Here is a 15711-nt window from a genome sequence, read left to right as displayed (position 1 = left end):
AGCCAAAAGCCTCAATTTGTTTATGAACTCTCCTGATTGTTAAATGTTGGCATTTAATTGAAACAGAAATCGTGGGGACTACACAAAGTTTTTGGCTGCAGGTGACAGTTTTGGCAGCAAAGCTCCCATGGTGCCAGGCTCTGTGCTAGGGTGGCTGGGGACAAAGGCAAGTCAGTCGGTCCTCCCTGGGAGGCTGCGATCCAGGAGAGCAGCCTTCCATGGAAAAGGGGCACTATAATAGGATTTAGTGAAATGGGATTTGACCCACATTATCCTTGAGCTCCTTAGGCGTGGACCTGCAGAACACTTTTTGTAGCTGAAATTGAAAAAGTAAAACAATTTGCAGCAGGCAGAGCGAATGTCTTGGGAAACGTTTCTAGGGCTTTCATGTTTCCTGAGGGCTTCCCCTATCTCATTTGAGTTATTCCATTAAATGAGCAATAATCCTATTTTCCTGGGCAGGGGGCACTAAGGCTGATGGAAAATAAGGGTCTGAGAGTCATACAAGCTGGGAAAAGGGAGAGGCCAGCCTGGGACCCAGGCTCAGGTAGGGAAGGGGAATTGGGGCCTGACAATATTTGAACCCCTAATGTTCGTACTGATCTCATTGGATCTTCCAGGCAACCATGTAAGGTCAATCTCATTATCCTCACTTTATAGCATTAACTGAGGCTCAGAGGGATGAAATGACTATTCAAAGACACAAACCCAAGACACTCAGGAAGGTACAAAAATGTCCATGCGCTCCTGAAATCATCTGCAAAATGTTTTATGTTTGTACTTGTATCCATTTCCCAGGGTAAGGAGCTTAAAACTTTCAAAGGATTCTCCAAGGGGTCAGTGATTCTCAAAGATTAAGAGCCACTAATTTAAGCCAAGGCTATTCTGATTCCAAAGCCTGTTCTCTGAGGCCCCCTGTGCCAGACTCTGGTTAAGAGAACGTTCTTTAAAGTCAAACTCATATAAAACCCAGATCGTACTAGCTGTGAGACCTTATTTCCTCATCTATAAAATAGGGATTCAGCCAGGCGTGGTGGCACACACTTTTAGTCCCAGCTGCTTGGAAGGCTGAGGTGGGAGGATGGCTTGAGCCCAGGAGGCAGGGCTGCAGTGAGCTGTGATTGTGCCACTGCACTCCAGCCTGGGTGATAGAACGAGACCCCGCCTCTTTAAAAAAAAAAAAAAAAAAAAGGATTCATTTATTTCACAAATATTTTATTGAGCTCCTGGCTCTGATTCAGACACCATTCTAGGTGCTTCGGACACAGCAATGAATTAAACAGTGTCTCTGCTGTCATTATTCTTTTTTTTTTTTTTTTTTTTTTTTTGAGATGAAGTTTTGCTCTTGTTACCCAGGCTGGAAAGTGCTATGATGCGATCTCGACTCATCACAACCTCCGCCTCCTGGGTTCCAGTGATTCTTCTGCCTCAGCCTCCTGAGTAGCTGGGATTACAGGCATGGGCCGCCACACCCAGCTAATTTTGTATTTTTAGTAGAGATGGGGTTTCTCCGTGTTGGTCAGGCTGGTCTCAAACCCCCAACCTCAGGTGATCTGCCCACCTCAGCCTCCCAAAGTGCTGGGATTACAGGCATGAGCCACCGTGCCCGGCCCTGTCATTATTATATTCTGTGGGAGGATAAAGACAACAAGCAAGCAGATATTTGTGACATGGTGATAAGTGGTACGGAGGGAAATGAAGGGGTCAGTGGGGTGGGGCATGCTTCAGGGCTGGGGCTACATATTTTAGTGTATTCACAGAGTTGTACCGTCATCACCACTGTCCATTTTAAAGCATATTGATTACCTCAAAAAGAAACCCCATTCTTTTAGGCATTACCCAAGCCCCATAATAACCCCTCCACTTCTGCCCTAAGAAACTACTTATTTCTGTCTCTCCATGGATTAGCCTATTCTGGATGTCTCATAAAATGCAATCATGTAATCTGTAGTCTTTTGTGACTTGAAGCTTCTTCGTATAGTCTGGGTATAAGAGTTTTAAAAATCTGATAGACAGTTTGCAAATATGTTCTCTCAAGTCTGTGGGTTTTGATTTCCTTCTCTTAGCAACATCTTTTGAAGAGCAGGATTTTGACGAAGTCCAATTTATCAACTTTTTCTTTTATGGGTCATTCTTCTAGTGTTATAGCTAAAAAAACCTCTGCCTAATCTATGATCACAAAGATTTCCCCCTATGTCTATGTCTTCCTTTAAAGGTATTTTTTTCTAAAGAGAGACCAGAAATCTGTTTTCTGTGTGCGACGTCTCAATTTGTAAGATTAAAATGAAACACATTAAAAAAACAAACAGACATGTATATGGGCTAGAAAAGGGCCATAGACTATCAGTTCTCATATATTAGTTTATATTGCATGCAAAATTGCTTATATTTGGCCATTTTTGATCTATAAAAACAGCAGTTTCATGCTAATGGCCTTTGTAGGTTAAGCTGTAGGTAATCCAAGTGAGTCACAGGTGTGCATGGGTATCACCACTAAATCACTAAACACATTGGCCTGAAACTCTTAAAAATAAGGGCAGTCTCCTGCATAATCACACCACCAGTATCACACCTAAGAAGATGAAATCATTCCCTTTATCATCTGTATTAGTTATCTGCTGCTGGGTAACAAAATACTCCAAAACATAGCATTTAACACCACAAATATTTTTATCTCACAGTGCCCGACTGTTAGAAATCTGAAAGCAGCTTAGCTGGATGGTTCTGGCTCAGAGTCTCTCATGAGGTTGCAATAAAGCTTCCAGCTGAAGCAGACATCTCCAGGCTTGTTCAGTGGCTGATGTCTGGAAGCCTGAGGTTCTTTCTCCGTTGCCCGATCTAGTCTACCTGAGCATTGTCACAACGTGGCAGATGCCTTCACCCAAAGCAAAGGATCTTTGTGTGTTTGTGTGTGGTCTGTTTGTTTATTTGTTTTCTGGTCGAGGCCCTTGGGTTTGCTGAGCCTTCCCTATTATAGATGAAAAGAACAAGGCCTAATGAGGGGAAACGTCTTGCCTGAGGACACCCAGCCATTCTCTGCTTAGATGCATATGCATTATGAAACCCAAAGGTCCTCTGGCACTGTGCGCTCCAGAACAGAGCCCTCCGCAAACACTGTATTTGAGCTTCACATTTGAAATATGGATTTGAGCATTGTAATAAACAGAACAAAAACCCTTGGATATATTGCATACTAAATGTTAGCATCTGGAGATGGCCAGCACAGTTTCTTCTGCCATTAACTCAGTTGTCAGTAAGTTTGACACTGAAGTTTGTCCTGCTATCTCTGTACAAGTAAAGAGGACCCTAAAAATTGCAAGCAAAGCAAGGTTCTAAATACTGCTAGGATTTTCAACTGCTATTACTTGTTGACCTGGGATTTTCTTAATATATTTGCAACTTTAAAAAGTTTAAAAGTTTTGAAGCTTAAAGTCAGTGCTGAGGTTGAGACATGACTAAATCTGTCATCCATGATATCTAATTTCTTTGTTTGTTTGTTTGTTTTTTCAGACAGAGTCTCGTTCTGTCACCCAGCCTGGTGTGCAGTGGTTCAAGCCATTCTCCTGCCTCAGCCTCCCAAGTAGCTGGGATTACAGGCGCCCACCACCAAGCCCAGCTAATTTTTGTATGTTCGGTAGAGACGGGGTTTCACCATGTTGGCCAGGCTGGTCTCAAACTCCTGACCTCAAGCGACCCACCCGCCTCGGCCTCCCAGAGTTTTGCGATTACAGGCGTGAGCCACCACGCCCAGCGGAATTTCTTATTCTTTTTGATCTATCAAAACAACCTCATTGTTCTCAATGACTGACCTTATAATAAGTAAATGTTATAGAACATACAGTGTCATTTTCCTTTTCCAGTAGAGGAAGATTACATTTCCCAGAGTTTCTTGCCTTTGAATAGAGGCCTGTGACTGGATGCTGAGGGCCCCTGGGATGTGGGCAGACATGGAGTTTGTGGCTTCTTCCCCTTACACAGAGGCCAGAGCTGTATCATGGCAGAACCACAGATGGTGGGAGGGTGGGTCTCTGGACCACTGGTTGAGGGGTAGAGAAGATCTGCTAAGAAGAGTTCCCTGACCTGCACCGAACAGTGACAGGAGCAAGAAGCAAACCTTTGTGTGTTAAGCCACTGAGATATTGGGGTTTATTTATTACAGCAGATTCTGGTCTATCCTGACTAATACTGGATCAAACAAATAACGTTTCTTGCAAATCAAAACCACAATGAGATACCATCTCACGTCAGTTAGAAAGGAGATGATTAAAAAGTCAGGAAACAACAGATGCTGGTGAGGCTGTGGAGAAATAGGAACGCTTTTACGCTATTGGTGTGAGTGTAAATTAGTTCAACCATTGTGGAAGACAGTATGGTGATTCCTCAAGGATCTAGAACCAGAAATACCATTTGACCCAGCAATCCCATTACTGGGTATATACCCAAAGGATGATAAAGCATTCTACTATAGAAACACATGCACATGTGTGTTTATTGCAGCACTATTTACAATAGCAAAGACTTGGAACCAACCCAAATGCCCATCAATGATAGACTGGATAAAGAAAATGTGGCACATACACACCATGGAATACTATGCAGCCATAAAAAATGAGTTCATGTCCTTTGCAGGGACATGGATAGAGCTGGAAACCATCATCCTCAGCAAACTAACACAGGAACAGAAAACCAAACACTGCATGTTCTCACTCATAAGTGGGAGTTGAGCAATGAGGACACATGGACACAGGGAGGGGAACATCACACACCGGGGCCTGTTGGGGGGTGAGGGGCCAGGGGAGGGACAGCATTAGGACAAATACCTAATGCATGCGGGGCTTAAAACCTAGATGATGGGTTGATAGGTGCAGCAAACCACCATGACACATGTATACCTATGTAACAAACCTGCATGTTCTGCACATGTATCCCAGAGTGTAAAGTAAAATAAAAAATAAAAATTAAACACAAATAACATTTCTAATAAAACACAGCTCTTATCTGTTCTATGTTTTGGGTTCCGTGTATTGTTTATTGAAAAGTAAAAAAGTTTTCTGCTACAAAAGGTATCAAAATCAGCAATTGAGTTTGAAGTCAGAATCTTACAGGTAGGGAACTCAAAGACTGGAGAGGAGAAATAATTTGTGCAGGGTCACATACCTGAGGCAGGGCTAAAATCTCGCAGAGGGACATCTGTAGTTTTATCCTGTCCTTTCTTTTGGTAACAGCAGCTGAATTTCCTCATCTTCCTGCTCAGGCCACATGCTTCATATGGGATTCATTCTCATCCCTCAGCTCCAGGCCTGGTGAATCTATATCGTCTATCACCCAAGCCTCAGTGATTAGCTTGAGGATGGATGCATGACCCAGTCCAGACCAATCACAGCAAATCCCTGGGTTTTTGCTGGAGCTGCTCTCTGTGGATAGTTGAATCAATAGGATATAAGTCTGGAGCTACTGGGTGCTATCTCAGTATCTCTAGGTTGAGAATGCAGCTAACACAGAGGAAAGCAGAGCTGAAATGTGGAGAGAGCCAGACGATGCTTGATGGTGTTTGAGCACCTGGATCCAGCCATGCCTGAAGTTGGAGCTTTTAGTTACATGAACCAATAAGTTCCCTTTTGGTTTATGTCAGTTTTGACTGGTATTCTGACTTACACATACGGTTTTGTGCTTTTTTTCACCAAGGGACAGGAATTACTGTATTTTTCTGTTTTACTGATAAGGAAATGGAGGCTCAGTCCATTTGTAATCAGATGCTTCAAGTCTCACCAGATTCAAGGCTTGATGACCTCTCTTTTGTGTTGGGAATGCCCCACACAGGAACTCTTGTTTGCTTCTGCCCCCTGCTTCCGTGCAGACACACTATCCTGTTTCACAAGGGGGTGGTAAACCACTACAGAGTAGGTGCTAAAACATCGCTGAAATGAAATAAGGAAAGAATACCCCTTTAAAGAAACGGTGTAAAGTGTATAATGAGGCGATTCATCAAAAAATGCAAATGACTTAGCCCTAAAAGATACCAACTTCACTAATAATTAAGAAATACAAATAAAACAGCTATCATCTTTCACTCATGAGTTTGTCAAAGAGCTAAAGGTTTCCTGACAGCTGAGGGCAGGGAAATAGTCTCTCCTGGGCTGAGGCAGTAGGAGGGGAAGGAGCACAGCCTCTTTGGAGGGCACTGTGGCAATGTCTGTGAAATGTAAACACTGTACAAGCCATTTGCCCTCCAGTTTAGAATGTATTCTACAAAGAAACTCCAACAAATATGCAGAGATGCAAGTAAAAGACTGTCCAGTAGAGAATTATTTTTAATAGCAAAAACCAAAACCAAAACTGAAAGAAAACAAAACAAAACTGGAAACAAATGCCTACCAAAATGGGTCTACACGAACCCCAGTACATCCAAGACATGGAAGATATTTTAGCTGCAAAAAAGAATGAGGTAGCCCCAGATGTGTGGGGGTGGAAAGGTGCCCAGGGTATACCATGTTGTTAGGGGAGAACCGGATGTGTGATATGATGCTATTTATGCTGAAAATGAAATCTTACCAAAGTTAAGATGAAGATAAGTTGTGAAGTAGAATTAGGGGGTCAGGGGACTTCTGTTTTCAATGAATTAATCTTCTTTACAATTTGATTTTTTAAAATTATGAAAATATGCACCTTACTATTTACTCATTTGAATACCCAATAATGCACAAAAATTCAGAAGGCACAAGGTGGAGATGTATAATTCTGCAGGTCTCTCAACTATCTGATACAGAATTAATTTATTCCCGGCATGCATTTAGTGTATTTAGAAGAAGGAGGAGAAGTGAGTGAGAAAGGGTGGGGGACACAGGCAGCGGCTGCTCTGCGGTCGGCAGCTGTGGTCAGGTGTGGAGGTGGGCTGCCCTTTTTGGGGTCACTCTATCCTTGGTTTCCTGGCATCAGGCCTTCCTAACCCCGCTGGAGCAGTAGTGAAGGACTTTGGTGATGCCCTGCCCATGGCTCCTGGCTGTGGTTCTTCTTGGTCTGGGTCCCACATCTCAGGGCTACAGGCAGTGAGGCGCTGGAATCCCCCAGGACTGTCCCGCTTCTTGCCAGCTCCCCTCCAGCCAGGCCTGCCTGGCGGATGCCCAAACACTCATCAGGCAAGACAGGTCTGTAGGCAAATATTGATCCCTGTGCGGCTGCGGGCGGTGAGGGGGCAGCAGGTGTGGCACAGAGTCCTGTTTACCTGCCGCTGAGCCTGGCGGGCGCTGCCTATTTGCTGAGCTCCCTTCCCGGCCTGGCTCAGGTGAGGCGAGCTCTGCCCTCTTTCTCCCTCCCTCCTCCCTCTGCTGTGCTGTTCAAGGGGGCTAGTCATTCTTCCCACCTCTTTGCTGGGCTGACTGCTGCTCATTCTTGTGTCTCAGCTTCCACACTCCCTCTTCAGGGCCTCCCTGTCTACCCTCACTCCAGAGTGGCCGTTGCCGCGGCCCACAGTTCCCCACCTACCAGGTTAGTGTTGCTGTTCTCTGCTAGATGCCAGATGAGCAGAGACGGGGACAGTTTTGCTCACCACTATTTCTCCAGCCCCTCCGTTAGGGCCTGGCACTCGGGAGGTGCTCCTCAAGTATTTGAGTGTCAGCCTGAATGAAGGCAGGCAGAGAGCCCTGCATGGGCAAAGGCACAGAGGTGTGACAGAGGGTAGTGAGGGGAGGGGGGCGGTGACGATGTATGGTGGGGAGCGGCAGGACAGGAGGCTGGAAAGTGAGGTGGGGTACTGAGCACCTCCCTGTCCTCCCCTTACTCTGAAAGCCTTTGAATGCCACATCTGGGAGTTCAGATTTTATCTGGTCAGAAATGGGAAATTGTTGGGTAAAGAAAATGCAAATAATACAACCAATGAGAGAATGACAAGCCAGATCCTTCATGCTGAATGGTAAATTCTGAAGTTCCTACAGTGGCCTGTGAGGCCCTGTAGCATCTGCTGCCCACCACACCCCTTCCCCACCTCCTTCCCCTACTTGCTGCAGCCACACTGGCCTGCTTGCTGTTTCCTGAACTTCACAGGTATAATTCAGCCTCAGGGCCTGCTGTGGTCCAACTGTGTCCTTCTGAATCTATGTTGAAACCTAATCCCCAGTGTGAGGGTATTAGGAAGGGGGCCTTTGGGAGGTGAGTAGGTCATGAGGGTGGAGCCCTCACAAATGGAATTAGTGCCCTCATCAAAGAGGCCCACCTTGTCCTTTCCACTGTGTGGGGACATGGTGAGAAAGTGCCATCTGGGAACCAGAAAGCAAGCTGTCTGTCATTAGACACTGAATCTGCTGGTGCCCTGATCTTGGACTTCACAGCCTCCAGAATGGTTAGAAGTCAATTATTTGTTTATAAGCTTCCCATTTTATGGTATTTTGTTAGAGCAGCCCCAACAGACTAAGGGCCTTTGCACTTGCTGTTTCTCTGCCCAGATGCTTTTCCCTTGGATATCATGGTTTATCTCCTTTCTTTGTTTGAACCTTAGCCTCCTATGGCACCTTACCAGAGAGGCCTTCCATGACACTAGGAACAAAGGAGCGTCACCCCACGCCCCCATGCCCTGATCCTGCTTTATTTTCCTCTCTAGTATTTGTGTCTGTTTACTTGTCTAGTGTATGTCTTTTCCCCAGGGATGTCAGCTCTGAGAAGGCAGGAATATGTCATTTCTCTGGTTCCCTGCTGTGTCCTCTGAGCCCAGAACATGTACCTTTAGGCTCAATAAATGCTTGTAGAATAAATGAATGAATGACTGTGTAGTATTAAGCTAAGCCACCCTGGTCCTGGAATGATGTTAACTGTTGCTCACATGCTCTGTCCTGTTGCCAGATCCCACACACAGCTTTGAGCTCCTTTGCTCTGCACATTAGCCAGGTGGGGAGTGCAGGTCAACATTATTATCTGCCTTAAAAAATAATTATCAATGGCACAAAAACATCATGATCACCTGGACAGAAACCAAAATGAAATGCCTGCAGGCTCCTGACTTGAGCAAATCAATTTCTAAAATATGATGTGCAGGAATTGTGACAAAGAGGATGGAATCTGCATTTCGAGACAGGTTTTCCCTGTGTTCAATTCCCAGCTCAGCTATTTACTTGCTCTGTGACCTGGGACCATTCAGGCCCCTTCTGTAAGCCTCAGCTATCCCTTCTGTCAATGGAGATAATTATTCCCTTGCAGAGATCTAGTGAAGAAGGCATTTGGACATAGGCATTTCCTGGGCTGCACCATCTACTGTGTATCCTTTTTGGTGCCTGCATAATATTCCACCAAGTAGAGTCACAGGCTTTGTTTAATCAGGTGGCTATTTCCAGACGTGGTAACAATAGCCTCTATTTACTGATCCTGCTAAGCGCCAGGCCAAGCACTGCACCTTCCTCATTTCTCCTTCAGTCCTCACTGCAGCCCCATCAGGTGGGTGCTGTTAATATTTCCATTTTGCACATGAGGTTAGGCAGCTTGCCCAAGGCCACGCAGCCCCACTAAATGGAAGATATGGAGTTGAAAGCCAAGTTGTCAAATCCAAGAGCTTTCAACTCTGTGCTTTGGTGGGACTTTTGTCCCCCATTTTGCAGATGGAAAATGAGGCTTGGGGAGGCCAGCAACTTGCCCAGGGCAACAGCGAGCAGAGCTGGGATGAGTCGGAATCCAAATCTACCAATTGAGATGGAGTCTCACTCTGTCACCCAGGTTAGAGTGCAGCAGCGCAATCTCGGCTCACTGCAACCTCCACCTCCTGGGTTCAAGCAGTTCTCCTGCCTCAGCCTCCCGAGTAGCTGGGACTACAGGCATGCACCATGACACCGGCTAGTTTTTGTATTTTTAGTAGAGATGGTGTTTCACCATGTTGGCCAGGCTGGTCTCAAAATCCTGACCTCAAGTGATCCACATGCCTGGGCCTCCCGAAGTGCTAGGATTACAGGCGTGAGCCACTGCACTGGCTCAAGTCTACCAGTTCTTAACTTGTGCTTTCCTCCAGACCTACCTTCGTACGCTGGGACAGTATCCATGGGTCTCACTTTTCCTGAAGCGGGACAGTTAAGTGGCTGAGGAGGGAGTGGCCCTCTAGTTTCTGCCCCATACCTAGCTGAAGGCTTCAGGATAAGGAGAATAATCACTGGTGAGCAGAGGAAACCTATTTCTGCTCTGGAAATGGCTCTTCTCTCCCTTTCTCTTCCCCCACCTCCCCCCTGCTACCCCCCAGAGTTCTGTACCAATTAATCAGCAGACAATGGAAGCTCCAGCTGGGACCAAGTGGGCTGGACTCATTAGTGCAGAATGACATTAATATCAAAAATCTTCTGAGACAAATGCAATGATTCAGGGCAGACGCCTATGGAGGGCTGGCTCAGAAGCTGGTGTGGGTGATGGTACCGTGGTCCAAGACAGAGAGAGCCGTGCATATGTGGGTGGACAACCAGGCCGGGTCCCCGGGATGCCTGAGGGGAAGAGGGGGCAAAGCAGCTCTGCCTTGGGCAGGGTCCCTGTCCTCTTGTGCAACCTGACTTCTCCCTCCTCCCTGCTTGGGGGGCCTGCATGGGTCACTGAGTCACCGAAACCCTGGGCAGGCTGGAGAGGCAGCGAGGCATGGAGGCCTTCAGGGCTGGATGGGCTGGGGCCGGGTCCCAGCTGCATCTCCTCTCCCCTCTCCCTGTGGCTCCAGCAACTCGCTTCCTGTCTTTGGGCCTCTGTGTTTCTTCATCTCAACTATGGGGTGATGATAGCTGCCTCTCAGGCTGGTGAGAGGATCATGGAATGAGGTGGACACATTTTGTAGAATGTGGACTAGAGGGGAGCGAAGGGCATCTTCACCATCTCCTCCTTCTTCATTGTTCTTTACCGAGTGGGGATAAATATCAAAAGTCTTTCTTTAGGGGCAACAGGAATCAAACCAGCTCCCGCAGGGAGCCTTAGAGATAGAGTTTTGCTTGGTTCCTATGCTCGTCATTTCTTCACTCACTCAGATATTCATTCATTGAGTCATCCACTCACACGTGTACCGAGCACCTCTCACATTGGCATCGATGTGGCACTGGGGATAGAAAGGTGGATGGGACACCATCGCTACCTCGGAGGGACTCTTCGGCTAGTGAGGAGGCTCTTCCTGCCTGGAGGACACGCGTGTGGTCAGGGAGAGCTTTGCAGAGGAGAGGCCACAAAGCTGTCCTTGTGGTTTAAGGAGTTTGCCGGTGGCCTGGGGTGGGGCAGTAGGGACATCATTTATTTGAAAAATATTTATTGACTAACTACTACATGCCAGGCACTGTCCTCAGTGTGGGGACACAGCTGTGGACGGCAGAGATGAAACTCTGCCTTCAAGGAGACGGCTTTCTGGTGGAAGGGCATAGAAGCCACCGAGCAGTGAGGGGGCAGTGGCAGAGCTGCTGTTTTGTACTGGCTGGTCAGGACAGGCCTCGGCGAGAGACGCCATCTGGGCAGAGATCTGCAGGGGCCAGGGGAGTGGCCCACAGGGATACCAGGAGCAGAGGGGATGGCGGGACGCATTCCTGAAGTGGAGGAACTCTCTCTGGGCTCCGGGAAAAGCAGGACACCCAAGCTGCAGGGGAGGTGGGGGGCGTGAGGTACGATGGGGTGCGGGGGTGTCCCCGGTCATCTCAGGCTTTGTAGGTCTGGCTGCTGGAAAATTACAGGATGCCCAGTTACACTGGAATTTCAGATAAGCAGCAAATAATTTTTTAGTATAAGTGTGTCCCACGCAAGTTTGCCTTTCTCTGAAATTCAAAAAAAGATTTTTAGTTCCTAATATCCCTTTCTTCTTTTTAAAACATTGTTTTAATTGACCAATAAAAATTGCATATTCTTATGGCCTACAATATGATGTTTTGGAATATGTATACATTTATGGGATGACTAAATTGAGCTAATTAACATATGCATTACTTCCCACCTTGTTTTTTTTTTCCTGTGGTGAGAACACTTAAAATCTACTCTTAGCGATTTTCAAGAATGCAGTACACTGTCATTAGCTATGCTGCCACGACGTACCATGGGGCTCTTTCACTTATTCTCCCTAACTGGAACTTTGTGTCCTTTGACCCACAGCTCCCCAATTCTCACTCCCTGTCCGCCAGCCTCTGGTAACCACCATTCTACTTTCTGCTTCAATGAATTTGGCTTTTTCAGAGTTCGCATGTCCATGTGAGATCACGTGGTATTTGTTTTTCTGTGTCTGGCTTATTTCACTTAACATGTCCTTGAAATTCAAACCTAACGGGCATCCTGCCTTTTTGTTTGTGAAATCTGGCCACCCTAGCTGTGGCCTCTACAAGACTTTGGCTTTACTCTGAGATGGAAGTCACTGGAAGCTTTGGGGTGCAGGAGAGACGGGGCGTGACCAGTTTTAAAGGGTCCTGGGGTGTGAGCGGACTGTGGCTGGCAAGAGGGGGGAGCCGCTGGAGGTGAGAGGTGGGATGGAGGCGCCAGGAGGCAGTGTGCAGGTGCTGAGGGGAGTCTGCGTGTGTTTTGAAGACAGCTGACCCCATTTGCTAATGGGTTGGTTGTGGGATGGCAGGTGGGGGACATGGAGGACTCCAAGGCTTTTGGCCTGAGCAACCAATAAGATTGCAGGAGGATCGTGTGTGTGTGTGTGTTCGCGTGTGCTTTTGGACACGGTTCAGAGATGCCCACTGGACAACCAGGAGGAGACATGCAGTGGGCAGGAGTTCAGAGAGAACTCATTCATTCGTCATCAGCTTGGATGTCATTTAGAGCTGAGCACCTGCCCGAGGGTGGAGGAGGTGTGTAGGTAGAGAAGCAGCCCTACTCCAACATCTGCAGAGGCCTGGAGGCTGGAAGGCCCTGGTGCACACTGATGGTCAGGCCCAGGTAGTGTGGGAAATGAGACTAGCATGGCCTGGAGGCAGAGAGAGCCATGAGGAGTTCCGAGAAGGGGAGTGACTAGTCAGATGTGTGTGTTTTAGAAGGGTGCCTCCGGGGCAGGGTGGAGGGGATGGAGCAAGGCCAGGAGGGCAGAAAGGGGACTGTGGCACCAGCCCTGCCCCAGCACAGCAGCCGGGGACTTGGTCGGGGGGTGGTGCAGGGAGACACAAGGGAGGGTGGTTTGTGTGTGGCGCTGCGGACAGGGCTGGGCAGCAGGATGGATGTGGGGTGCAGGAGGACGGCTGGGGGCAGAGAGAGAGGCTTTTGAATTTGCCTCAGAGGAGTGCAGAGTGTCCCCACCCCACCCCCAGCAGCCCACAGCCACTGTGCTTGTTAGCAAGGAACACTCCTCAGAGGGAACATATGTGCTGTTATTTTTAGGTGATTAGCCGCACGTCGTGGAGCGTTTGTTTGCCAGTCGTGGGTAAACAAAAGCCATTTGTCAAAATGAGATGTTCCAGCCTCGTCCTCCCTTCAGCAGGCCAGTCCCCGCGCTGTGAATTCCTGTTGCATCAGCAGCGAGGCTAATTAGCTCCTCGGCTCTTGAATAATAATGGCCACATTTACCGAGAGATTTCTGTGCACGAGGAGCCCTGCAAATGTGATCTACGCAAGAATCACAGGTGCATCTTATTGGCTCCAGTTTGGAGTGGGGGAAACTGAGGCTCAGGGAGGTGGAGCGGTTTGCTCAAGTCCCCACAGCTAGGAAGTGAAAGCTCTGACATTCTCAGATCTGAATGACCCCCAAGCCTGAGATGGGTGAGGGGGCTGCTCTGTTCTTCTGGAATATCTCCCCTTCCCCATCCTGTGAGCAGAAACTGAGCAACATCACAAGCAGCCTAAGGTAATTAGACTATCATTCCTTGTATGGAGTTCAAATCTTCATTGCATCCAAGGTATCTGCTCTGTTTCTCACTTCTGAGTCCTGCACGTGCTAACCTTTCCAATCTCTGGGCTTTGGACAGCCACAGTGAGTCTGAGGTTTGTTTCTGCCACTTCAGGTCTGAGTATGAGCTTGGGCAGGTCTCTGAGATGAAGTGTGTGGGGGCTCATTGGCCAGTGCTCCTGAAGTCAATACCATTGGAAGGGAGTGGGGAGGAGCAGGCTTGGGCAAAGGGGGAGGCTGACCTATGATGCTATCTCAGCAGAAGGCTCAGCTGGCCTGAGGATGGGATGACCCCTCAGGACTGTCCCGAGTCAAAGCAAAAGTTCGGGTACTTGGCACCCCACATTGGTGCCAGTGACCCCACATTGGGTCATTGGATGTAGGCCTCCCTGGGAATGGAGCATGAGGGCTGTCAACTTTCTGCAGGCAGTACTCCCAGCAGCTGGGGTAATAAGTCCTTTATTCCTGCAGAGGGACCTGGGTGGCACCTTACAGAGTCCTTCACAGTCACCTCTTGGATCCACTTCATGTAAGTTCTGTGAGAAGCTCTTCTAGGAGGCAACTTGAAGAGGAAAATTACTGGGATGAACTCCAACCCCTACCTCTGAAGTTTTGGGGTCTCAGGGCTGCAACTGACATCCTCACCTGCCCACTCCACTACCCATTATAGACCACCTCACTCTCAGACGACATCTCTGTTGGTCTCCTGATTACCTGAGGGAACTGAGACCCTGGTCACCATGCTATTTTCAGGCCAGGGTTGCTACACTTGTCAACTTAACATCAAAATTGGGCAAGGGAGTACCAAGAAGCACCCAAGGGCATCGCCTGGATGTCAAACATATTCCTCCCAGACCCCATATGCAACCGCTTCTGGATGCCAGGATGCGACTCCTCTTCTTACCGCTGGCCCCTTGATGCAAGGACAAGAAACCCAGAGTGCCAAGGAGGCGACTGTGCTTCGACTTTGAGGGACTCTGGCTGTGCCACCTTGCAGAAGTATTTTCTCTTTGGGAACAAGGACCTCTAAACTTACGGAACCCAGAGTTGAGGGACAGAAAGCACAAATTCTTTAAGTGGGCCACTGGGCCGCTTAAGCTTCTACCCCTAGGTTCCTAGACCCGTGTATTCTGCCCAGTGGGGATGCAGTGCCATATATAGTATTTGATTTGAAGTGATACTGCATCTTGGAGGATGGTACTGAAACCTTGTGAAGGCTTGTTTCTGAACTGGCATTGCAGCTCTGTCTCCATCGGGCCAGCAGCTTTGGGGTCATGTGGTGTGCAGTATTAACAGTGGATCCCTGGTCATGGGCCAGCCCACTCCCGCCCCTGCAGGGTTATTGCTATAAGATGGGCTGTTGAGTCAGAAGTGATGTTATGTGGCATCGTGTGCCAGTGAATCAAACACTTCATAGACCCTTGAGCAGAGAATCCATGGGCAGGAAAGGCAAATCTCTATGTGGAACTGGTCTCTATTCCTGATCTTTCAGGAGAGGGTCCAGTGTAGTCATCTGCCACATGCCAAGCCAAACCAATCTCAGTTTTATCCTCTTCAGCTGGTGACATGGGAGTCCCCCATGTGGCCATTCGAATGAGCTGAGGCTGCTGGTGCCTCAGTGGGGATGATGTGGGGTCTGGGCTACCTGCCGTGTAGCTTGCTGGTGTCCTCAAGGCGTGCTCATGTTTGACCCGGGATGTCCCCACCATGTTAGATTGATTGATTGGGTCTGGCAGACCCAGCTCATGACAGGCAGTTCCAGCTGCCTGATCACTCGGTGTCTCATGTCTGGGTGTTGTGTGTCACATGAGGGCTAGTAGCACAGGCACACCAGGACCTGTTTTCAGAAGGTGAATAATCCTTTGCTGCTAATTGTAATTCACTCCCAAATTTTAGGGAGTCTCCAGATCCTAAGGGAT

The 15711-nt window shown here is 47.9% G+C and overlaps 1 annotated feature.

Moving 5' to 3' along the window:
* Positions 12758 to 13600: an enhancer, noted in NCBI's record as "H3K27ac-H3K4me1 hESC enhancer chr5:175335086-175335928 (GRCh37/hg19 assembly coordinates)". NCBI's record gives its function as "activates a minimal SCP1, AML or CMV promoter by ChIP-STARR-seq in naive H9 embryonic stem cells {active_cell/tissue: H9 hESC(naive)}" and the evidence as "EXISTENCE:reporter gene assay evidence [ECO:0000049][PMID:30033119]".

This window comes from Homo sapiens, chromosome 5 (assembly GCF_000001405.40).
Source record: "Homo sapiens chromosome 5, GRCh38.p14 Primary Assembly".
NCBI classification, from domain to species: domain Eukaryota; kingdom Metazoa; phylum Chordata; class Mammalia; order Primates; family Hominidae; genus Homo; species Homo sapiens.
Note: the sequence above shows the minus strand (reverse complement) of the source record. Positions and strands in the feature narration are given on the sequence as shown.